This window comes from Homo sapiens, chromosome 3 (genome assembly GCF_000001405.40).
Source record: "Homo sapiens chromosome 3, GRCh38.p14 Primary Assembly".
In the NCBI taxonomy this organism is placed as follows: Eukaryota; Metazoa; Chordata; class Mammalia; order Primates; family Hominidae; genus Homo; species Homo sapiens.
In genome coordinates, this window is record NC_000003.12 from 30,407,043 (window position 1) to 30,432,342 (window position 25,300).

The 25,300-nt window shown below is 35.7% G+C and overlaps 2 long non-coding RNA genes across 6 annotated transcripts in view; one reads left to right on the top strand and one right to left on the bottom strand.

The window, feature by feature from the left end:
* Positions 1–25,300, top strand: part of LOC101927995 (uncharacterized) — a 119,590-nt gene that overhangs the window by 57,252 nt on the left and 37,038 nt on the right. Inside the window, exon 4 of one of the 5 annotated variants that reach the window (XR_001740626.2) lies at positions 2,873–3,851. The exons of the other annotated variants lie outside the window; for them this stretch is intronic. This is a non-coding gene — a long non-coding RNA (uncharacterized LOC101927995). Of the gene's footprint in view, positions 1–2,872; positions 3,852–25,300 lie in introns of those variants that run through there. 5 annotated transcript variants of the gene reach the window in all.
* The window catches only part of LOC105377013 (uncharacterized), a 47,433-nt gene continuing 34,830 nt past the window's right edge, over positions 12,698–25,300 (bottom strand). Inside the window, exon 4 of the long non-coding RNA XR_940683.2 lies at positions 12,698–15,324. This is a non-coding gene — a long non-coding RNA (uncharacterized LOC105377013). The remainder of the gene's footprint in view (positions 15,325–25,300) is intronic.

Sequence of the window (25,300 nt, forward strand, 5' to 3'; positions counted from 1 at the left end):
GAATTTGTGGCTCTATTAGCTGGAACTCCAGGTCACTAGAATCCTGGAAGACAAACTTTAAGAAGTATAATTTCAGGAAACTTATGAAAGTTAAAGAATAAATCCATATCCCTCAGGACTCACAAAAGCACAGGCGAGACATTGATCATTTTCTATACCTAAGAGAAGGCCATGGAGGGTCTGAGAAAAGTCCCAGCTGTATGAACTATGTTTGACTGCTGAGACCAGCAACCTGCATGGACCTGGGGACTGGAGGTCTGGTGGGACCAGAGTCATGTCAGCAGGGTAAAAATTGATGACCAGCATCTAGCACAAGACAACTAGACAATTCCCAATTATCCACATAGATAGGAAATGTGCCTGAAGACTGAATCACTTATATCAGCAGTAAAAGCCAGCAAAGAAGAAATAATCCAACCACCATCACATACACAAATGGAACACACACACCTCTCAACATAATAATGTTCATAAGACCCTTCTTTCCTGAACAAAGAAGAGGTGAAGGACAGAGTATGATTAAATTATACTTTTGGAGTTAGTGAAAAATCCCTGGATCAAACTGAGAGAAACTTGCAATTGGATAGATTTGATTGTCTGCTGCTGGACAAGCTTGAGGCTAAAACTTAGAAATCAATTTGAGTGAAGAAATGTTTCATTTTTATGTGCGTGAGTCTGTGACTGAGAAATTCATGCCTATTATACCTTCATCAAATCAGACTTATCCTCACTTAGCAATCACTAGTAGTTTCCCAGTTGTACTTAGAATGAAATCCAAATTCCGCAATGGCCCACAAAACCCTGCATGATCTCCTCCTGGATAACATCTCTTAGCTCATCTCTTATCATTCTCTCCTCCCTCCACAAATATTTCAGCAGCACAGAACTTTCTTCTAATTCTCTGTCCCTTAACAGAGCAAAACTTCCTTGAGTCAGTTTATATGCTGAACCCCTTATCTGAAGTGCCCTTTCTTTGTTCTGAATGCAATTTCTTATTTTTTAAAAAACCTTTAAATTCCTTCTTATTCTTTAGTTCTCAACTCTAATGCCATATTCTCAAATACACACACTCTGAATTTCCTTTCTAACTTAGAGTAATTGTGTACTAAATCCACAGATAGATTTTCTTCATCATACTTTATAGATCAAATTCTGTATTTATTTGTCTACTTGCTCATTATTTGGTTTGGCTGTGTCCCCACAAAAATCTCATCTTGAATTGTAGTTCCCATAATGCCCACATGTCGTGGGAGGAATCCTGTGGAGGTAATTTAATCATGGGTGTTTTTACCCTCATGCTGTTCTCATGATAGTGAGTGAGTTCTTATGAGATCTGATGGTTTTATAAGGAGCTTTTTTCCCCTTTTGCTTGGCACATCTCCTTCCTGCCAGCATGTGAAGAAGAGGGTGTTTGCTTCCCCTTCTGCCATGATTAGAAGTTCCTGTGGCCTCCCCAGCCATGCTGAACTGTGAGTCAAATCAACTTCTTTCCTTCGTAAGTTACTCAGCCTTGAGTATGTCTTTATTAGCAGCATGAGAAAGGACTAATATACTACTTTCTCCCACCAAGTGTAAACTTTCCAAGGGCAAGGAGACCATTTGCTTTTTATCATTGTAAATACCTATTTCCTAGTTAGTGCTTGGGACATAGGATGTATTCAATAAAATTTTTTTGATTGAAATGAATTACTCAGTTATTTAAAATCATCTTATAGAAGATTATGTGCAGACAGAAAATGTTTATCATATACTGTTAAAAAATGGCAGATTACAAATAGATGATCTCAATTTTGTAAATATATGTATATATAAACAAATAGTTGAACACCAAAAAAAAAAAAAAGCTAACATTCTGCAAGGAAATATACCGAAAACTAGCAGTCATTATTTTGTTTCTTTTTTTTTACACTTTATTGAATTTTTAAATTTTTTTACCCTATACATACATATAAAATTAAAATCACTAAAAGATCTCAAATATAGTAATTATCTGATGAAGTTTTGTTTTTTCAGAGTTCTTTTTCTCTTTCATCTTTTTATCCATCCTTAATCCTGACTAAGAGAAGTTTGTCATGGAAATAGCAGACTTGGGTTGAAATTTGTTTACCTCTTTAAAAACATGTGATTTGAGACAAATTGCTGAATTTCTCTGAGCCTTAACTTTTTCATATAATGAAAATAGTGTTAAATGAGAATAATTAAAACTGTCCCACCTGAGATGATGTGAAAAGGACTTTCTAGTGTAGTTGCTATAACAGAATTGAAGGAAAAAAAGGGGAGTAGATCACCTCCCATTCTCCACTTTTCTCTTCTCATTTTACTTTTGTTTATTGTTCTTTTCCTTTTTTCCACCTGCTTGATCTGTGTCCCCTAAATTCTGGATTCAATCAGAAGTCCTCTGAAAAATCGAAATCTGGTTTATTTGTTTGAAATCTTGTCTGCTCAATAAAACATACACTAGGATTGACAGGGCCAGAGAAACTAAACGTCTTCAGGATATTCTGTAAGTGCTGTTTCTAAATTCTCACCACCATTTTCCTTTTTCTCACTGTCTCCTTTTAAGCTTTGTAACTCTTGGCACCAGGGGAAAAAATTTAAAGTTTTTAAAAAGCAACCTGAGGCCAGAGTTTGAAAAGCTTACAAAAAGAAAAAATTACTGTATACATAATATTCTACATCGCCTTTTCCTAGCCAAAAAAGATGTCACAAACTTTTCAAACGTGGAGATGCATAATAGGTTTGGCATATACAGGGGAGGGGATTGTGGAATCTAATTCCAAACGGGGAAAACAAAGTTTGAATTTATTTTCTAAGTGACTCAGGAGAGATTTAAAAGTTGAAATGTTACCATTTGTTTGGCTTCTCTCAACAGCATCAGCCATTTTCATTTCACGTGGGAAGAACAATATGAGACAAACAACCTAAGATTAAATGAAACCAGTTGGATTGGAGAGATGCATTTACATTTTACCACCTGGATAAGTGTATTTTCCTCTTGTGGCTTTATAGGCTTGGGGGCTATTGAAAAATATCTGTCTATAAATTGAATCAACACTCATTAAACTCATTAAGAGAAATGTAGTTAGGAATTTAGTATGGAAAGCAAGCCCTTCGTTTTTATTGGATTTTACAATAGGGAGCACTCTAAGCTTTTAGACATTAAGGCAGGAAGGGGCTAACTATAGAAATTACTCCAGTGTGGGCTTCGACTTTGGAGAGGCTATGCTTCTCTAGAGAGAATGTATGCACAGCAGAAGAGTAAGATGAGGCAGATATTTTATTTCCTACACATCCCAAAATAATAACCCTACTCTGATTTATCTTACCATTACCCCATTTTTTCTCCCCCTCATCCACAACAGTTCTCTAACTCCTGCCTGGTTTTCCTTTAGTTTCATAACTCTTCACAGATGACTTTTGAAAATATTTCACTCTCTGCAGCCTGATGATGACGACGAATATTTTGCTGTATGTTCAGAAACAATAAATTATTATATAATTATCACTGTGCACAAGACAGAAGAAACCTATCTCTTGAAAACAACACTTAAAATATTCACATAAAATGCAAATTAACTGTCTTTTCATAAGAGAATTATCTTTCTGTCCTGTAAAGTTCTTCCAGGATAAAGAATTTCCACTTCCAAAGTTTATTTCCAATGGTTTCAACTTAGCAAACATGTAAACATGTCCCAGGCTCCAGGAGCTATGCTAGGTACTATACATAGTATACAAGAGGGAAAGAGAGAAGGCAACTGCCAATCTCTTTCTGGGAACTTTATACCTTACCTTACTGAGGTACCATTTACTATGGATTAAACAGAGTTAAAGAAGATAACTAATTTTTACAAGACAGTGACCTACCATTTGAATCTGAATTTTCAAAAATCCATGATATTTTCCACTATCCTAAAGTTTGAGACAACTCAGAAGGAAATAAACATTTGTACTAGGATAAGTCAAAATTCTATTTATCAGAAGTAATCTTAGAAAGAGAGACTACTATATTAATTTGGAATTAATTATTTGATAAGCCCACCCACACCCCATACTATTTCTGATGGTTCTTTTGGTTTTTGATAAGATGGCAAGGGTGTAAATGACAAGAAAAAAAATGTGTTGTTCCTGGGAAGGAAAGGGGAAGAGGGTGAGCAAAAAACTTCTAAACCCTTTAGACTCCCCAGTGCATTCAAGTTGGGCATCTGTGAAAACACCTGAAAAACTTGAGCTTCAAGTCATGACCAACCTGGAGGTAAAACAGACTCAGTTCAAGTGGATCTGGGAATTGAAGGGGCGGCTTAGATTCTGCTGAAGTGTGAATTAATGTTACATTTGATTGATTCTTTTTTTTTTTTTTTTTTTTTTTACTTTGGGATATTTTAAACTTCTTTTTTTTTTTTAATTATACTTTAAGTTTTAGGGTACATGTGCACATTGTGCAGGTTAGTTACATATGTATACATGTGCCATGCTGGTGCACTGCACCCACTAACTCGTCATCTAGCATTAGGTATGTCTCCCGATGCTATCCCTCCTCCCTGCCCCCACCCCACAACAGTCCCCAGAGTGTGATATTCCCCTTCCTGTGTCCATGTGACCTCATTGTTCAATTCCCACCTATGAGTGAGAATATGTGGTGTTTGGTTTTTTGTCCTTGTGATAGTTTACTGAGAATGATGATTTCCAGTTTCATCCATGTCCCTACAAAGGACAGGAACTCATCATTTTTTATGGCTGCATAGTATTCCATGGTATATATGTGCCACATTTTCTTAATCCAGTCTATCATTGTTGGACATTTGGGTTGGTTCCAAGTCTTTGCTATTGTGAATTAGTGCCACAATAAACATACTTGTGCATGTGTCTTTATAGCAGCATGATTTATAGTCCTTTGGGTATATATCCAGTAATGGGATGGCTGGGTCAAATGGTATTTCTAGTTCTAGATCCCTGAGGAATCGCCACACTGACTTCCACAATGGTTGAACTAGTTTACAGTCCCACCAACAGTGTAAAAGTGTTCCTATTTCTCCACATCCTCTCCAGCACCTGTTGTTTCCTGACTTTTTAATGACTGCCATTCTAACTGGTGTGAGATGGTATCTCATTGTGGTTTTGATTTGCATTTCTCTGATGGCCAGTAATGATGGACATTTTTTCATGTGTTTTTTGGCTGCATAAATGTCTTCTTTTGAGAAGTGTCTGTTCATGTCCTTTGCCCACTTTTTGATGGGGTTGTTTGTTTTTTTCTTGTAAATTTGTTTGAGTTCATTGTAGATTCTGGATATTAGCCCTTTGTCAGATGAGTAGGTCGTGAAAATTTTCTCCCATTTTGTAGGTTGCCTGTTCACTCTGATGGTAGTTTCTTTTAAAGGGGATATCACCACCGATCCCACAGAAATACAAACTACCATAAGAGAATACTACACACACCTCTACACAAATAAACTAGAAAATCTAGAAGAAGTGGATAAATTACTGAACACATACACTCTCCCAAGACTAAACCAGGAAGAAGTTGAATCTCTGAATAGACCAATAACAGGAGCTGAAATTGTGGCAATAATCAATAGCTTACCAACCAAAAAGAGTCCAGGACCACATGGATTCACAGCTGAATTCTACCAGAGGTACAAGGAGGAACTGGTACCATTCCTTCTGAAACTATTCCAATCAATAGAAAAAGAGGGAATCCTCCCTAACTCATTTTATGAGGCCAGCATCATTCTGATACCAAAGCCAGGCAGAGACACAACAAAAAAATAGAATTTTAGACCAATATCCTTGATGAACATTGATGCAAAAATCCTCAATAAAATACTGGCAAAACGAATCCAGCAGCACATCAAAAAGCTTATCCACCATGATCAAGTGGGCTTCATCCCTGGGATGCAAGGCTGGTTCAATATACACAAATCAATAAATGTAATCCAGCATATAAACAGAGCCAAAGACAAAAACCACATGATTATCTCAATAGATGCAGAAAAAGCCTTTGACAAAATTCAACAACCCTTCATGCTAAAAACTCTCAATAAATTAGGTATTGATGGGATGTATTTCAAAATAATAAGAGCTATCTATGACAAACCCACAGCCAATATCATACTGAATGGGCAAAAACTGGAAGCATTCCCTTTGAAAACTGGCACAAGACAGGGATGCCCTCTCTCACCACTCCTATTCAACATAGTGTTGGAAGTTCTGGCCAGGGCAATTAGGCAGGAGAAGGAAATAAAGGGTATTCAATTAGGAAAAGAGGAAGTCAAATTGTCCCTGTTTGCAGACGACATGATTGTATATCTAGAAAACCCCATTGTCTCAGCCCAAAATCTCCTTAAGCTGATAAGTAACTTCAGCAAAGTCTCAGGATACAAAATCAATGTACAAAAATCACAAGCATTCTTATACACCAACAACAGACAAACAGAGAGCCAAATCATGAGTGAACTCCCATTCACAATTGCTTCAAAGGGAATAAAATACCTAGGAATCCAACTTACAAGGGATGTGAAGGACCTCTTCAAGGAGAACTACAAACCATTGCTCAAGGAAATAAAAGAGGATACAAACAAATGGAAGAACATTTCATGCTCATGGGTAGGAAGAATCAATATCGTGAAAATGGCCATACTGCCCAAAGTAATTTACAGATTCAATGCCATCCCCATAAAGCTACCATTGACTTTCTTCACAGAATTGGAAAAAACTACTTTAAAGTTCATATGGAACCAAAAAAGAGCCTGCATCGCCAAGTCAATCCTAAGCCAAAAGAACAAAGCTGGAGGCATCACACTACCTGACTTCAAACTATACTACAAGGCTACAGTAACCAAAACAGCATGGTACTGGTACCAAAACAGAGATATAGATCAATGGAACAGAACAGAGCCCTCAGAAATAACGCCACATATCTACAACTATCTGATCTTTGACAAACCTGAGAAAAACAAGCAATGGGGAAAGGATTCCCTATTTAATAAATGGTGCTGGGAAAACTGGCTAGCCATATGTAGAAAGCTGAAACTGGATCCCTTCCTTACACCTTATACAAAAATCAATTCAAGATGGATTAAAGACTTAAATGTTAGACCTAAAACCATAAAAACCCTAGAAGAAAACCTAGGCATTACCATTCAGGACATAGGCATGGGCAAGGACTTCATGTCTAAAACACCAAAAGCAATGGTAACAAAAGACAAAATTGACAAATGGGATCTAATTAAACTAAAGAGCTTCTGATTGATTCTTTCTACTGCTTGGTGTTCCTGACACTCCTGTTTGTGAAGAAATTCCCACATTTTTCAAAGAAAACTAGAGATTGAGACTTCAGCTGTGTGACAACAGAAACTGAAAACCAACTCTAAGGGGCTAGAATATAACCTGCCTTTTAAACAAATTGTCTTTTTAGGCCTGGATGTGTTCCAAGGGTGACTGAGGTTGGACTGTAGTGGGAAAGCCAATATCACCAGATGAACTTTATTTCACAAGGAACAACCAGGATCCCCAAATTGGAAGGACATTGGTGTGTCATCAAAGAATGAAGCATGACTTTGTTACTTTCTAGAATTGTACCCATTCAATGGTCTAATAATAAGAAAACTTCTGCAAAAATAACGTCAATGCTTTTTCTGTAAGGTAAAAAAAATCTTATAGTGAGAACCAGACTTGATTCAACATACACTCTGGAGATTAAACTAAAATCCAGCTTTAAAACTGTACCCTATAACCAGCATGGGCATTATAGTTTGTCATATTCAGTACACTGTTTGTTCTCTCAGAGGCCATATGCATTATTTTGTAAAAGATAGTTTCAGGCAATGCCTGGAACATCTGTTGAATGATCAATCTTTGCATAGTAGCAAAAGGAAAATACATTATTTCTGTTTTTATCTAGAAATTTCTGGAAAACTTGCAATGTCTTTTTTTAATGTTATGCCTTTGTTTCATGTAGTTTTCCAGACAAAATAATGAAGACATAAGCAAGCCAAGAGAGTTATCTAAGTTGAAAAGTTTGGATTGTTCTAATTATACCTAATTAGAGATCAAAATGAAAAGTGCTTAGGGTGAAACCATTAATCAAAAAGAGGTCACTGCTCACTACTCAACAGAATTAAATGTACCAATATGATTTCCTTTTCTAAGTAAGCAATGTACTAGTCAATCATTACTTACAACGTGACCCATTTAAATAATTAAACTATATTTCAGGTCTTGTGTGCTATTTGAAGAGGAATAATGAGGTCTTTAATAACAATTTCATGCTTGAATTTTCATATCTGGAGGAAAGAAAGCCAATGTTCTGGAGTGGAGGATGAAAATATTAAAGTGTTTTTCTGATATAGAAAGAAAAGAATATACTACTACCCTTTCTTATTCTCTAGATTTGGCATAGATTCTTTGAGAAGCCATTAATATCTACCTAAATAAGCATTCTCTCACCCTCTTTTTAAACTCCCAGTGATGCCAATTTAAGTAGAATACAAATGGCATTCTATCTCACTATGGAATTGAGTCATAGACTCATGCAATGAGAGAATGGACATGATAGAGATAAATGCAGCTGTTATGGACTTAATCATGTCCACCTTAAATTCATATTTTAAAGCCCAACCCCAAATATGACTATATTTGGAGATATGGCATTTAAGGAGATAATTAAGGCTAAATGAAGTCATAATGGTGGGATCCTGCTTCATTATGTCGATGACCTTATAAGAAGAGAGAGAAAGAGACACCAGGCCTGTGTGAGTACAGAGAAAAGGCCATGTGAGGCAACAGTGAGAAGGCAACCATCTTTAAGCCAAAGAGAGAGGCCTCTGGAGAAACCAAACTTGCCACCATCTTGAAATTGAACTTTCATTCTCCAGAATTGTGAGAAATAAATTTCTGTTGTTTAAGTTATCCAGCTTGTGGTATTTTGTTATGGCAGCCCTAGTGGGCTAATAGAGCAAGCCTACAAATAAGAACATACCACTGTGTTCTAATAAACATTGCCATCAAATTTGGTATTTCTAATTTAATTAGCCTTCTCTCTCTTATTTATTTACTTTTTCAACCAACACAGACAATTTACTGATGCTAGGATCAGCATTGGAAAAGATCAGAAATGCCTCTGCTCTCACAGATCTTATGTTCTCATTGAGATACAGAGAAAATAAATAATGAAACAAATGATAAACTGTAATTTCTGATAATAAGAAGTCCTGAGAAGTAATTAAACAGTAAGATGATAGAAAGCCTGGAGAAGGGTCTACTTTAGGGAGAGAGATCTGGAAGGCCATTGTGAGGAGGTGGCATTTAAGTGGAGAATTGGAGAGTGAGAAGGATCTGAGTGAAGAGCTGGAAAGGAAGTTTTTCAGAGAAAGGGAATAGCCAGGACAAACTCGTAGTGATGGGAATGAACTTGGTTTGCTTGAGACACTGGAAAACAAGCCAGTGTGACTATAATATCCTGAACAAACGACAGGGTGGTATGATGCATTGAAAGAAAAGGCTGGTCCTAGAGTAGTACACAGAGTGAATGTTAAAAGTCTAGGGATTCCATTTTCCATTTTATATAGCAGTCACTCATATAAGACTATACTTTCATTTTTCTCTCTTCCTTAATATATTGTCTTGTCTAAGCTTCTGTGAGTCTACACTTGCCTCAGTTTCCTCATAAACTACTGACTGTTCCTTCTAAAACTCCTGTTTGGCCCTTCTCTTTTGTACTGGAAATGTCAGAGGATGCCAGGGGCTAGTCTTTGCCCCCGTCTCTCTTTCTCACTCATCCAGGCTCTTGACGTCACAGTGGTACTTCAATTCTACCCTGGCATGGCATTAGGTGTTGTCATACTATAATTAACAGCTAAACAAGCTCTCAATGCCCCCTCCCTGCCTACTCCACACCTAGTTTTCTCTATCTCATAATGGCAGAGCCCTCCCGAGACTTGATGGCTCCAGCCCAAAACCTTGAAAATGTCTCCCTCTCTCTCACCTGCATTTTCATAATCTACCATTTAGCTCCCCAAACACCTCAAATCCACCCACTTGTCTTCACCAAGTCCAGTCATCATTTATTGCCATAACTATAGCAATAGCCTCTTAATGATCTATGAATTTCCATCTTTGTTTTCCCTGCCACCTGTTCTCAATTCAGTGACCAGTGGTCTTATAAAGGCAAAAGTCAGATTACATCATTCCCTCCAAAGGCCTCCAATGCCCTTAGAACACAATCTGACCTACCCAGCCAAGCAAGTCATGGCTTCACCTTATCCCGACTGGCCTCACATCACTCTCCCCATTGCTCACTGGGCCCCACTGCACTGATCTCACTTCTTTTTTTGCAATACACCAAGCTTATTTCCACTTACTGTGGACCAACCACACTATTATGTCCCCACTCAGAATTCTCTCTCCACATTTCCATGGGGTGACTCCTTACCTCAGCTCAAAAATCTCCAAGAGGTTTTCCATAGCCTCCCAATGTAAAGTGGCCCTCTCCTTACCCACTCCACTATTACCCTCAATCTCATTACACTCTTTCCTTCTTTGTTCTTTCCACAATCTGAAATAATGGGGCTTGTTTAATCATTCACTGTCTCCCCTTAGTAATATGTAAGCTCCAAAAGGCCAGGACATTTGTCTACCTTATTTATTGCATGTCCCCCATTCTATGCCAAGTAAGTAGATGGAATCTATAGTTCCTTCTTGCTTCTATGTCACAAAAACAGAGGCTGTTTTCATAGGGATTTCCAAGGTAGTTTTTTACAGTACATCTGTGACTAGGATGAAATACATAGGTACGTCTTCCCTCACTGCCAAGAGTTTTACTGATGGAAGTGAACTGGCTCTCCAGAGGAGCAAGTATTGGTTCTAAAATCCTGTGTTTAATAGGACAACATTGCTACCAGATATTCATTGTGCCTTTGTTTTGCATAGGGTGACTTATCTTGCATCATGCAAATGCTGCAAAAAAAAATCTAACTGTATTTCTCTTTTAACTGTTCTCAAGGAGTTCATAAACTAAATAATAAAAGAGATGGAAAAACAACTGCAATGTAATATATAATGTCTAATAATAGAAATATGGACCTAAAAGCATAGGTAAGGGGACAGTTCATGCTTCTTGAGGGTATGGCAGCAAAAAAGACAGCACAGACTGGGGTGACATTGGGCAAGTCTTTGATGGACAACTGTGAGAACCAGAGAAGGAAGTAGGACATTACTAAAGTGGAAACTGTCTAAAAAGTTAGCCAATGTAAATAAGCATGAATTTTTTAAGAGAGGCTTTTTTTTAATAATAAAAGTTTCAATGCCACAGCAAGACAAAATAATACTAACAGTTGTATGCATGTGATATCATAGCCTCGAATTACACAAAGCAAAAGTAGATAGAACAAAAACTAGAAATAGGTAAGTTAAATGCCATAGTTGGATATTTTCATACGTTACTCTCAGAGTTTGATAAAACAAGTAAATAAAAGATCAATAAGGGTACAAAAGATTGAAACACAAAGTTGGCTGAATTTCTATATGTAGAACCTAATACTTAACATTTGCAAAATACACATTCTTTATAAGTACACATGTGACCTTTGATGATGTAGTCAGAGAAGAAAAATGCATGAAACTTTCTAAGAATAATGAATCATATCAAAGATGAGCATCAGCAGTTATCTGATATAGCTTAATATTGGGGATGGTAATATTTGGTTTCCAACTCTACAATTCTAATTTGCATGCTGACACTATAGATTAGAGTTAACAAAATGATTAAATCAAGTTTGCAGCTGTCTTTTGTTTAGACTGCAATGTTTTATAGAATTCTAATTTGATGCCAACATTAAAAGTCAAGATTTTTGTGTCTTCTTGGGAGACACATCTATTTAAGCCCTTTGTCCATTATTTAATCAGGTTATTTGAGGGTTTTTTTTTTTGCCATGGAGTCATAGGAGTTTCTTACATATTTCCAATATCAACACTTCTCAAATATATGATTTGCAAATATTTTCTCCCCTTCCATAGGTTGCCTTTTCCTTTTGATGATTGTATCTCTTGCTGTGCAGAACTTTTGAGTTTGATGTAGTCCCACTTGCCTAGTTTTGCTTTTGCTGCCTGCATTTTTGATATCATATTAAAAAAATCATTGCCAACACCAATACGTAGGAGATTTTTTTTCCGTTTTCTTCTAGGAGTTTTAGATTTGAGGTCTTATAATTAAGTCTTTAATCCATCTGTATTAATTTTTGTATATAGTGTACAATACAGATCCAACTTCATTCTTTTGCATGTGGATACCCAGTTTTCCAAATACCGCTTATTAAAGACTCTTCTTTTCTCATTTTGCATTTTTGATGACCTTGTCAAAGATTAATTGACCTAACGTGCATAGATTTATTTCTGGGCTCTCTTTCTGTTCCGTTTGTCTACTAGTCTCTTTTTATCCCAGGTTTATGAAAAGGTGCTTGCCTTTACTAATCATCAGGGTAGTGCAAAAGAAACATACATGAGATATCACTTCACATCTGTTAGCATGGCTATTACTTTTAAAAAACATAACAAGTGTTGGTGAAGATGTGGAGTAAAGGGAACCTTTGAATACTGTTGGTGGGTATGTAAATTGGTACAGCTGTTTTGGAAAATGGTGTGGAAGTTCTCATAAAAAATTAAAAATAAAACTGCCATCTGATCTAGCAATTCCACTTCTGGGTATTTATCCATCCAAAGAATTGAAATCAGGATCTCAAAGAGATACCTATACTCTCATATTCATTGTAGCATTATTCACTAAAGTCAACACATGGAAACGACCTAAATGCTTATGGATGGATGAATGGATTCAGAAAATGTGGTACTTACATACAATGGATGTATTATTCAGCCTGAAAGAAGAAAGAAATCCTTCAATTTGCAATCACATAGATGGGTCTGGAGGACTTTATTCTAACAGCAATAAGCCAGACACAGAAAGACAAATACTGTATGATCCCACTTATATGTGGAATGTAAAGTAGTCAAACTTGCAGAAGCAGAGAGAAGAATGGTGGTTTTCAGGGGCTGGCGGTAGAGAGAAGTAGGGTGATGATGGTCAAAGGGTACAACATTTTGGTTATACAAGGTAAATAAATTCTGGAGATCTACTATACATCATAATGCCTATATGTAACAATATTGTATTGTATACTTAAATTTTGCTAAGAGGATAGATTTTTGTGTTGTGTTCTTACCATAAATAGTATTAACAATAATAATAATAATAATAATAATGAAGAAGAAGTAAGAGGAAACTGGGAGGTGAGGGACATGTTTACAGTCTTGATGGTGGTGATGGTTTCACGGTGTGTACTTACCCCAGACTCCTCCAGTTACATATATTAAATATGTACAGCTTTTTACATGTCAATAACAGCTCAGTAAAGTGGTTTTAAAAAAATTAACTCAGCAGATCTTACATAAAACTGCGAATTGCTGACTTTCTTTGAAAGACTAAAAACTGTGTCAAGGCTGGTGGACGCTCTTAAGAAGCTATCATGGGCTGAAGCTGACGGACTGGCTCATTTAGGTGGGACAGGCAAGCAGGTTTGACTTTGCCAGAGTTCCCTTCGCACTTAGGTAGGACCCTCATTTTACCTGGCACTGTGCATTCTAAGCTTACTGCTTCTGCCTTTTGACTTAATGTATTTACTCTGACAAGAAAAATTAAGAGATTTAAGAAAAATGTTTAAGTCAACATTTACTGAAGTGTAATGTACATTAAGAAAAGTGCATTAATTGGTAGGTCTTCATACGTTCTCACAAAATAAACTCATTTATGTGACCACCACATAGAACAATAAATAAAAGATTACAACATCCCAAAAGTCTCTCTCATGTTTCTACCCCTCGTGATTATCAACCACAGAATATAAAAACTATTCTAACTTCTAACACTGTGGATTCGTTTTCACTGGTTTTTCACTTTTTAAAATGGGATACTACCGTGTACTATTTTATGTCTGGTTTCTTTCAATCAACGTAATAATTTTGAAATTCATTCAGCTTACTTTTACAACAATAAATTACCCATTTTCTTTGGTGGATCGTATGCAATTGCGTGAACATATCATAATTTATCCATTCTACTACTGATTGCTCTCAGTTTGCTTCCAGTTTGTGGCACTTATTTATAATGCAGTTATTAAAATTCTTTTACATGTCAATTGATGTACATATCTGAGTTTTTCTTTGGAGTATACATGTAAAAGTGGAGTTGCTAGATGAAAAAGTAGGTATACGCACAACTTTGAAGGATACTGCCAACAGTTTCCTAAAGTGGCTGTATACATTGACATTCTCACCAGGAGTAGCTGAGAGTTCCAGCTGTTCATACTGTCACCATCGTTTTGTATTGCAACATTTTATTTTTTTTTAATTGTAGTCATTTTGTTGTTATGTATGGTATCTCATTGGAGTTTTGATTTGCAATTCTCTGATGACTAATAATGTTAAGCAATTTTCATGCATTTATTTGCTATTTCAATGTCCTTTGCTGGGAAGTGCTTATTCAAGACTTTAGGCTATTTTTAAATGGGGGAACTATCTGTTGGCTTTCAGTTTGTATGTGTTCTTTATATATTTTGCATAAATTTCTTGTATGCAGAATTTGGATTAAAATATATTCTTTTAGTCACTGGCCAGCCTTTCACTCATTTAACAATGTATTTTGGTAAACAAAACTTCTTAATTTTTATGATGATAAAAAAATTATTTCAATTTTTATCAATCAGTGCTTCATCTTCCTTTATCATGAGTGCTTTTTGATCAGTTTTAAATTTTACTTTTGAATTGTTTATTGCTAATATATATTTATAGCCATATCTATTTAATATAATGTGAGTGATCTTTGTGTGTTTAACTTGTAACCTGCAACTGTAATAAATGTACTCATGTTTTATATGCTCAATGATGGCATCTTTTCTTATCTTACTTCACATTTTAGGACCTATGAGACAATGGTGAATAAAGTTATATTAGTTGTCTCTTACAGCATAACAAATTACTTTGACATTTAATAGTTTAAAACAACAAACATTTACTATTTCATAGGCCAAGAATGTGGGTGATGCTTATTTGAGTGCCTATGGCTTAAGATGTTTCATGAAATTATAGTCAACCAGTTACCTGAAGCTGTGGTCTTACTGAAGTCTCCAATGGAAGAGTGTAGAAAAGGTGATTTATTTCTGAACCTACTCACATGTTTGTTGGCAGGCTTAGGATCTTCAGTACTTGAGCATCTTCACATGGCTATGTCAAGAGAGGGCAGCTGGCTTCTCCTCTGGAAAATGACTTAAGAAAGACCACCTACAGGCACACAAGAGAAAGAGAGAAAGTGTGTTTAGATGGAAGCGACAGTCTTTTTATAGCCTCATCTCAGAAAAACATTCTATCACTTCTGCCATATTTGTTAGAAGTGAATCAGTAAGTCCAGTCTTGACTCAAGGGGAGAGAATTATACAAGGGTATCAATACCAGAATATGGAAATCATGGGGGACTGTCTTGAAAGTTGCCTAACACGGAAGTGGTGATAATGGGCTTCTTTGCCTCAATCCTAATCTTTGTAGTGATATTTCCAATATTTCACCATAAATTATACCGTTTATTATAGTTATATTTAATACTGTCTTCAGATTGGGAACATTCTCATCTATTCAAAATTACTAAAAGGTTGTTTTTAACTATGAATTTTTTGAATTTTATCCAATATTTTCTCTGTACCTATTGAGATAATTATTATTTTCTCCTTTGTTTTGTTAATGAGTGTATTTTCTTTTTTCTTTTCTTTTTTTTTTTTTTTTTGAGACAGAGTCTCTCTCTGTCTCCCAGGCTGGAGCACAGTGGCACGATCTCAGCTCACTGGAAGCTCCGCTTCCCAGGTTCACGCCATTCACCTGCTTCAGCCTCCTGAGTAGCTGGGACTACAGGCGCCTGCCACCACGCCCGGCTAATTTTTTGTATTTTTAGTAGAGATGGAGTTTCACCCTGTTAGCCAGGATGGTCTCAATCTCCTGACCTCGTGATCTGCCTGCCTTGGCCTCCCAAAGTGCTGGGATTACAGGCGTGAGCCACCGCACCCGGCCTGTTAATGAGTGTATTTTCATTGATGAACTTCTTAAACGTTAATCAGCCTCAATTTTCTAATATGAACTCAACTTGGTTGTGGTGCTATACTTTTTATATATTGATAGGTTTAGTCTGTAAACTTTTCTGTTAGCATTTTTCCACCAATGTTCATAAGAGAGACTGATTTATAATGTCAATCTCATTATATGTCAATCTTTCTGTAATGTCACTGTTAGGAATTGCTATCAGAATTTTTCTGACCTTATGAGTTGAAAAGTGCTCCTTGTTTTTCAGAGTGGGTATAAGACTGATATTTTCTCCGTAAATGTTTGAAAAAAATTACTAGCAAAGCCAGTTGGGTCTCAAGTTTTTTGTTTGGTTTTATTCAGTGTGAATTTGATTACTTTAATAAATATTATTCTATTCAAATGATCTATTTCCTGTATCACTTTGATAGTTTTTCTCAAAACTTTTCTCAATAGATATGAGGTCTAAAATTTACTAAAATAAAATTGTTTATCAAATACTCTTATTTTCTTTTTAATGTCCATAGTATCTGTAATAATGTCTCTCTTACATTCATTATATTGGTAATTTTTCACTTCTCACTACCTTTTTTATGGTCAAAGCGGAATCTGGTCATTTTTAATAATGTTTCCAAATAACCACCTTTTGATTGTTGATAATGTCATGTCTATTATATCTTTATTTTCTACCTCATTAGTTTTATTAACTTTCTTATATTCATTGTTTTCTTCCTTTTACTTTCTTTGGATCTAATTTGCTGCCCTTTATCTAATTATTTGGAGTGGATACCTTAGATCATTAATTTTCAGCCTTTCTTAATTTCTAATACATCTAAACAAGGCTTTAAATTTTCCTCTAAGCAAGACTTTAAGCTCATATTTTAAAAGGTTTGATGTAATATGTTTTCTTTTTCATTGAGCTTAAAATATTTTCTAATTTTCACTATTTTTTGACTCATTGATTCTTTAAACGTGTATTTTTAAATTTTCTGTCACTTGAGAATATCTAGTTAGCTTTTAATAATTCTTTTCTATCTTATTTCTACCCTGAGCAAAATAACCTGCCAGATTTCAATCTTCTCCCATCTCGAGACTTGCTTTACCCTTCCGCATACGATCAAGTTTGCTAAATGTTTCCTGTGTGCTTGAATGTGGATGTTACATTTGCTGGCTACAGTGGTGTGTACATGTCAGTTGGATCAATTAATAAGTCAACTTTTTTATTTTTACTTTTTATTTGTTTGCTCTAATAGTTACTTAGAGGGTTACATTGTTTGTCATCATGATTGTGAAATTTATTTCTCCTTTAAAATTTGTTAACTTTTCCTTTACATATTTTGAGGCTTTATTTTAGATTATACACATTTAGTATTAACATTTTTCTGGTAAATTGGTTCTTATTTATTCATTTTTTGCCAGCCTTATTTAGGCTATAATTTACATATCACACAATTCATCCTTTTAAAATGTAAACTAAAATGGATTTTAGTATATTTACATAATTGCAAAATGTTACTACAATCAATTTTAAAATATTTTAAACCCACTGACATTTGTGGTAACTCTTTGTTCTGCTACCCTAACCTCCAGCATAAGCAACTACTATTCTAATATTTTCTGCATAGATTCGGACATTTTATATAAATGGAATCATACAATATGTGATTTTTTTTTTTACCAGGTTTTTAAACTTAGTATATATTTCAAGATTCATTTATGTTGGGACATATAGTAGTATTTTCTTCCTTTTTTATTACCAAACAGCCATTCATCTTATGGATATTCATTTTTATATACATCCTTCAATTAGTAGACATTTTACTTAATTCTACTTTTATGCTATATGAATAATACTGCTATAAACATTTGTGTACAAGTTTTATGTGGGTATATGTTTTTGTCTGGGTATATTACTAGGAGTGAAATTGCTGGGTATTATAATAACTCCATGTTTAACACTCTAGGAAACTGCCAAACTGTTTGTGCTTATTTGCCATTTGTATATTCTTTGGATAAATGTCTAATCAGAGCCTTTGCTCATTTTTAATTGGGTTATTTCCCTTTTTATTATTGGTTTGTGTGGATTCTTTATAAATACAAGATACATATATATATTGGATATATATGATTTGCAAATAATTTCCCTTATTCTGTGGGTTGTCTTCTCAGATGCTTCATAATGTCCTTTAAAGTGCAAAGTGCTTTTAATTTTCATGAAGTTGAATTCATATGCATTTTTTGGTGTGTGCACTTGGTGTCATATCTAAGAAGGCTTTGCCATGAAGGTATATCATAAAGATATGTTCCTATGTTTTCTTCTATGAGATCTTTCGTTTAGCTCTTACATTTAGGTACATAATTTTAGTTTAGCTCTTACATTTAGGTCTATAATTTATTTGAAGTTAATTTTTGTGTACAGTATAAGGAAGGCATCCAATTTCATTCTTTACATATGGGTATCCAGTTATCCCAGTACTTATTGAAAAAACTTTTTCTTGCAATTAAATTATGTTGAAACTTTGTCAAAAAATTAGTTGACAGCAAATGTCAGGATTTACTTTTGTACTTTCCATTCTTTTACATTGATCTATATGTCTATCCAAATGCTAATACCACATTGTCTTGGTTTTTGTAGCTTTGAAGTAGGTTCTACAATCGGGAACTGTAAATCCTCCAATTTTGTTCTTTTTTTATAAAGCTTGTTTTGGCTATCCTGGTTCTCTTGCACTCTATATGAATTTTAGAATCAACTTATCAATTTCTGAAAAAAAAGTCAGCTATCTGTAATTTTGATAAGTATTGCATTAATTGTGTAGATAAATTTGTGGAGTATTAACACCTTAAAATAATAAATCTTCCAACCCATGAACATAGGTTGTAATATTTAAGTCTTCTCAAATTTCTTTCATCAATGTTTTGCAGTTTTCAGAGTACAAGTTTTGCACTTCTTTTGTTAATTTCATTTCTAAGTATTTATAGCTTTTGAAGCTGTCATAAATGGAATTATATCCTTAATTTCTTTTTCAGATTGTTAATTGCTAGTGTATAGAAATACAATTGGTTTTGCACATTTGTCTTACATCTTGAACATTACTGTGCTCATTTATTAATTCTAATTGTTTCCTTACAAGATCCTGTCTTCTAACAATAGGGTTCAATATTATTACCCAGTCACACCTGGGGTAGAGCTTCTGCCCTGTGAATGGGGGTGGATGGAAGAAGGGAGCCCCAGACTTTTCAGCTGCTCTTGCTTGGAATAGAGCTTCTGCAACACAGATCTGGGGGTGGTAATGAGAAATGCTGTCAGCCTGTCCTTTCTGAGAAGATACCACGGCCCTTGACTGGGAGCTGGGAGGAATGCAAGCTCTGTGTTCTTGGCTGCAACTCCTCTTGGCTGGAGTAGAGCTTCTGTCATGCTCAGCTGGAGAGCGGGGGAAGGGAGCACGTCTTTAGTTCAAATGCCACCTATTTTTACTGTTCTTAATAAGATTTAGAAGATTTTCTTAAATATATATGTCTCCATTTGCTGGATGCCCTTAGACATTTTCCAAAAATTATAGATTTGTGTCATTGTTTTTCCTTTGTTAAAACTTACTAATTTTCACCAGTTACAGTTGTTTCACTGGGCAAAGGATCCTCTGAGCTCCTCATGACATCATTCAAGATGTGACTCTTGTCACTTCTTTTATTACTATAAAATTCCCTCATTATTTCCTGAATCCTAGTTTATTAGATAATAATATAACTACATCAGCTTTTTAAAAATGAGTAGTATTTGCATAATGATCTCTACTCTTTATTTTCAGCCTGCCTCTTTTCTCATATTTAAGGTACATTCATTATAAACAGCATATAACTGGGTTTTGATTTTGAATCAGTTCACAGTCTTTGTTTTCAAATTGGAGTATTTTTTTCTAGTAGTTTCAACATATTTGGGCTCAAATCTACCATAATACTTTGTAATATTTTGTTTAATCTGCTTTCTGTTCTTTATGTCTTCTTTCTTGCCTTCCACCAAAATAATCAAATAAATTGTATTATTTAATTTCCCTCCTTCAATAATATGTTTAGTATAATTTTCTCTATCAACTTTCTGGTGGTATTAGAAATTACCATATGTATCTTTGACTTATCAGAGTCTATATAAATTAGTACTATTTTCCTTTTCTAGACAGTGCAAAACCTTGTATCACTTTAATTGTCATTTATTCTCCTCCAACCTTTTGTACTATTGTTTTCTTGTAATTTAATCCTACATTTATTTTAAACACCACAAGGCAGCATTATTACTGCTTAATATATAGTCAATAGACATTTTCCCAGTGCTTTGGGAGGCCACAGTGGGAGGGTTGCTTGAGGACAGGAGTTCAAGATTAGCCAGGGCAACATAGCCAGGCCCCATCTCTACAAAAAAAATATGAAATAAAAAAATTAGCCATGTGTACTGGTGGGCACCTATAGTCCCAGCTGCTCAGGAGGCTGAGGCAGGAGGATTGCTTGAGCTCACTAATTTGAGGATTGGTGAGCTATCACTGTGCCATTGCACTTGAGCCTGAGCAATAGAGCAAGAATTTGTCTCTTAAAAAAAAATAAACGTTTAAAATTTTCAAAATATTCACCCTTTTCAATGTCTGCCCTTCTATCTGGGGTTATGTTATTCTTCTTGACAGACTTTTCTGTTAAGTTTTTTGCTGTAAGCTAAGCCTGCTACTGAATCAGTCTTCTAGACTTTTTTTTTTTTTACCTAAAAATGTCTTTATTTTATCTTAATTTTTAAAGGGTATTTTCATTTTATATGGAATTCTAGGTTGATAGAGTTTTTGTTTTATCTCAAGACACCATTCTGTTATTTTATGCTTCCATCATTTTGGTTAGAAAGACAGATATCAAAGTTATTCTTGTTTCTTTTTAGGTAGCATGCCTTTGTTTTCTGTCTGCTTCTAAGAAACTATTTTTGCCTTTGTACTTAGCAGTTTTACAATAATGTGCCTATGTATGTCTTATTTTTCATTGATCATCTTGAAGTCACAGCAATTTTTAAATCTGTGTCTTGGTGGTGGTTTACATCATTGTTTTGCCAATATACCTTCAAATACTGCTTCTGTCCCATTTTATCCCTTCTCTTCTTCAGGAACTCAAATTAAACATGTTAGGCATTTTTAATCCTTGACCAAATTTCCTGTTTCAATTATCCATTCTATCCCAAAAGTTAGTGAATTAAAACAACAATCACTTCTTTTAAAACTCACAATTCTGTGAATTAGGAATTTTGTCAGACCACAATGGGGATGACTAAGCTGGGATGACTTGAATAGCTAAGGAGCAGTCAGTCATATTGGCTCTACTGGGGCAATATGTCTGAGGCCTTAGTTCTGGTTTTTGCTTGGATTCTTTAGATGTCCTTCCTCTGCCCTTTCAGATGTCCATCTTGAACTTTCTTAAGTCATGAGAGTCTAAGACCAACAAAAGGAAAAATTTAATGCAATCAAGCATCAACATCAAACTACTCCAAACTAAAGGAGGAAGTTCGAACCCATGGCAAAGAAGTTAAAAACCTTGAAAAAAAATTAGACAAATGGCTAACAAGAATAACCAATGCAGAGAAGTCCTTAAAGGACCTGATGGAGCTGAAAACCAAGGCATGAGAACTACGTGACGAATGCATAAGTCTCAGTAGCCAATTTGATCAACTGGAAGAAAGGGTATCAGTGATGGAAGATCAAATGAATGAAATGAAGTGAGAAGAGAAGTTTAGAGAAAAAAGAATAAAAAGAAATGAACAAAGCCTCCAAGAAATATGGGACTATGTGAAAAGACCAAATCTATATCTGATCGGTGTACCTGAAAGTGACAGGGAGAATGGAACCAAGTTGGAAAACACTCTGCAGGATATTATCTAGGAGAACTTCCCCAATCTAGCAAGGCAGGCCAACATTCAAATTCAGGAAATACAGAGAATGCCACAAAGATACTCCTTGAGAAGAGCAACTCCAAGACACATATGTGTCAGATTCACCAAAGTTGAAATGAAGGAACAAATGTTAAGGGCAACCAGAGAGAAAGGTCGGGTTACCCACAAAGGGAAGCGCATCAGACTAACAGCGGAAGTCTCGGCAGAAACTCTACAAGCCAGAAGAGAGTGGGGGCCAATATTTGACATTCTTACGGAAAAGAATTTTCAACCCAGAATTTCATATCCAGCCAAACTAAGCTTCATAAGTGAAGGAGAAATAAAATCCTTTACAGACAAGAAAATGCTGAGAGATTTTGTCACCACCAGGCCTGCCCTAAAAGAGCTCCAGAAGGAAGCACTAAACTTGGAAAGGAACAACTGGTACCAGCCACTGCAAAAACATGCCAAATTGTAAAGACCATCGAGGCTAGGAAGAAACTGCATCAACTAACAAGCAAAATAACCAGCTAGCATCATAATGACAGGATCAAATTCACACATAACAATATTAACCTTAAATGTAAATGGGCTAAATGCTCCAATTAAAAGACACAGACTGGCAAATTGGATAAAGAGTCAAGATCCAGCAGTGTGCTGTATTCAGGAAACCCATCTCACGTTCAGAGACACACATAGGCTCAAAATAAAGGGATGGAGGAAGATCTCCCGAGCAAATGGAAAACAAAAAGGCAGGGGTTGCAATCCCAGTCTCTGATAAAACAGACTTTAAACCAACAGAGATCAAAAGAGACAAAGAAGGCCATTACATAATGCTAAAGGGATCAATTCAACAACAAGAGCTAACTATCCTAAATATATATATGCACCCAATACAGGAGCACCCAGATTCATCGAGCAAGTCCTTAGAGACCTACAAAGAGACTTACACTCCCACACAATAATAATGGGAGATTTTAACACCCCACTGTCAACATTAGACAGATCAACGAGACAGAAAGTTAACAAGGATATCCAGGAATTGAACTCAGCTCTGCACCAAGCGGACCTAATAGACATCTACAGAACTCTCCACCCCAAATCAACAGAATATACATTCTTCTCAGCACCACACTGCACTTATTCCAGAATTGACCACGTAGTTGGAAGTAAAGCACTCCTCAGCAAATGTAAAAGAACAGAAATTATAACAAACTGTCTCTCAGACCACAGTACAATCAAACTAGAACTCAGGATTAAGAATCTCACTCAAAACTGCTCAACTACATGGAAACTGAACAACCTGCTCTTGAATGACTACTGGGTACATGAGGAAATGAAGGCAGAAATAAAGATGTTCTTTGAAACCAACAAGAACAAAGACACAACATACCAGAATCTCTGGGACACATTCAAAGCAGTGTGTAGAGGGAAATTTATAGCACTAAATGCCCACAAGAGAAAGCAGGAAAGATCTAAAATTGACACCCTAACATCACAATTAAAGAACTAGAGAAGCAAGAGCAAACACATTCAAAAGCTAGCCGATGGCAAGAAATAACTAAGATCAGAGCAGAACTGAAGGAAATAGAGACACAAAAAACCCTTAAAAAAAATCAATGAATCCAGGAGCTGGTTTTTTGAAAAGATGAACAAAATTGATAGACTGCTAGCAAGACTAATAAAGAAGAAAAGAGAGAAGAATCAAATAGACACACTAAAAAACTGATAAAGAGGATATCACCACTGATCCCACAGAAACACAAACTACCATCAGAGAATATTATAAACACCTCTATGCAAATAAACTAGAAAATCTAGAAGAAATGGATAAATTCCTCGACACATACACCCTCCCAAGACTAAACCAGGAAGAAGTTGAATCTCTGAATAGACTAATAACAGGCTCTGAAATTAAGGCAATAATTAATAGCTTACCAACCAACCAAAGTCCAGGACCAGATGGATTCACAGCTGAATTCTACCAGAGGTACAAGGAGGAGCTGGGACCATTCCTTCTGAAACTATTCCAATCAATAGAAAAAGAGGGAATTCTCCCTAACTCATTTTATGAGGCCAGCATCATCCTGATACCAAAGCCGGGCAGAGACACAACAAAAAAAGAGAATTTTAGACCAATATCCTTGATGAACATCGACGCAAAAATCCTCAATAAAATACTGGCAAACCGAATCTAGCAGCAGATAAAAAAGCTTATCCACCACGATCAAGTGGGCTTCATCCCTGGGATGCAAGGCTGGTTCAACGTATGCAAATCAATAAACATAATCCAGCATATAAACAGAACCAACGACAAAAACCATATGATTATCTCAATAGATGCAGAAAAGGCCTTTGACAAAATTCAACAACCTTAATGCTAAAAACTCTCAATAAATTAGGTATTGATGGGACGTATCTCAAAATAATAAGAGCTATCTATGACAAACCCACAGCCAATATCATACTGAATGGAAAAAAACTGGAAGCATTCCCTTTGAAAACAGGCACAAAACAGGGATGCCCTCTCTCACCACTCCTATTCAACATAGTGTTGGAAGTTCTGGCCAGGGCAATCAGGCAGGAGAAGGAAATAAAAGGTATTCAATTAGGAAAAGAGGAAGTCAAATTGTCCCTGTTTGCAGATGACATGATTGTATATCTAAAAAACCCATCGTCTCAGCCCAAAATCTCCTTAAGCTGATAGGCAACTTCAGCAAAGTCTCAGGATACAAAATCAATGTGCAAAAATCACAAGCATTCTTATACACCAATAACAGACAGAGAGCCAAATCACGAGTGAATTCCCATTCACAATTGTTTCAAAGAGAAGAAAATACCTAGGAATCCAACTTGCAAGGGACCTGAAGGACCTCTTCAAGGAGAACTACAAACCACTGCTCAATGAAATAAAAGAGGATACAAACAAATGGAAGAACATTCCATGCTCATGGGTAGGAAGAATCAATATCGTGAAAATGGCCATACTGCCCAAAGTAATTTATAGATTCAATGCCATCCCCATCAAGCTACCAATGACTTTCTTCACAGAATTGGAAAAAACTACTTTAAAGTTCATATGGAACCAAAAAAGAGCCCACATTGCCAAGTCAATCCTAAGCCAAAAGAACAAAGCTGGAGGCATCATGCTACCTGACTTCAAACTATACTACAAGGCTACAGTAACCAAAACAGCATGGTACTGGTACCAAAACAGAGATAAAGACCAATGGAACAGAATAGAGCCCTCAGAAATAATGCCGCTTATCTACAACCATCTGATCTTTGACAAAACTGACA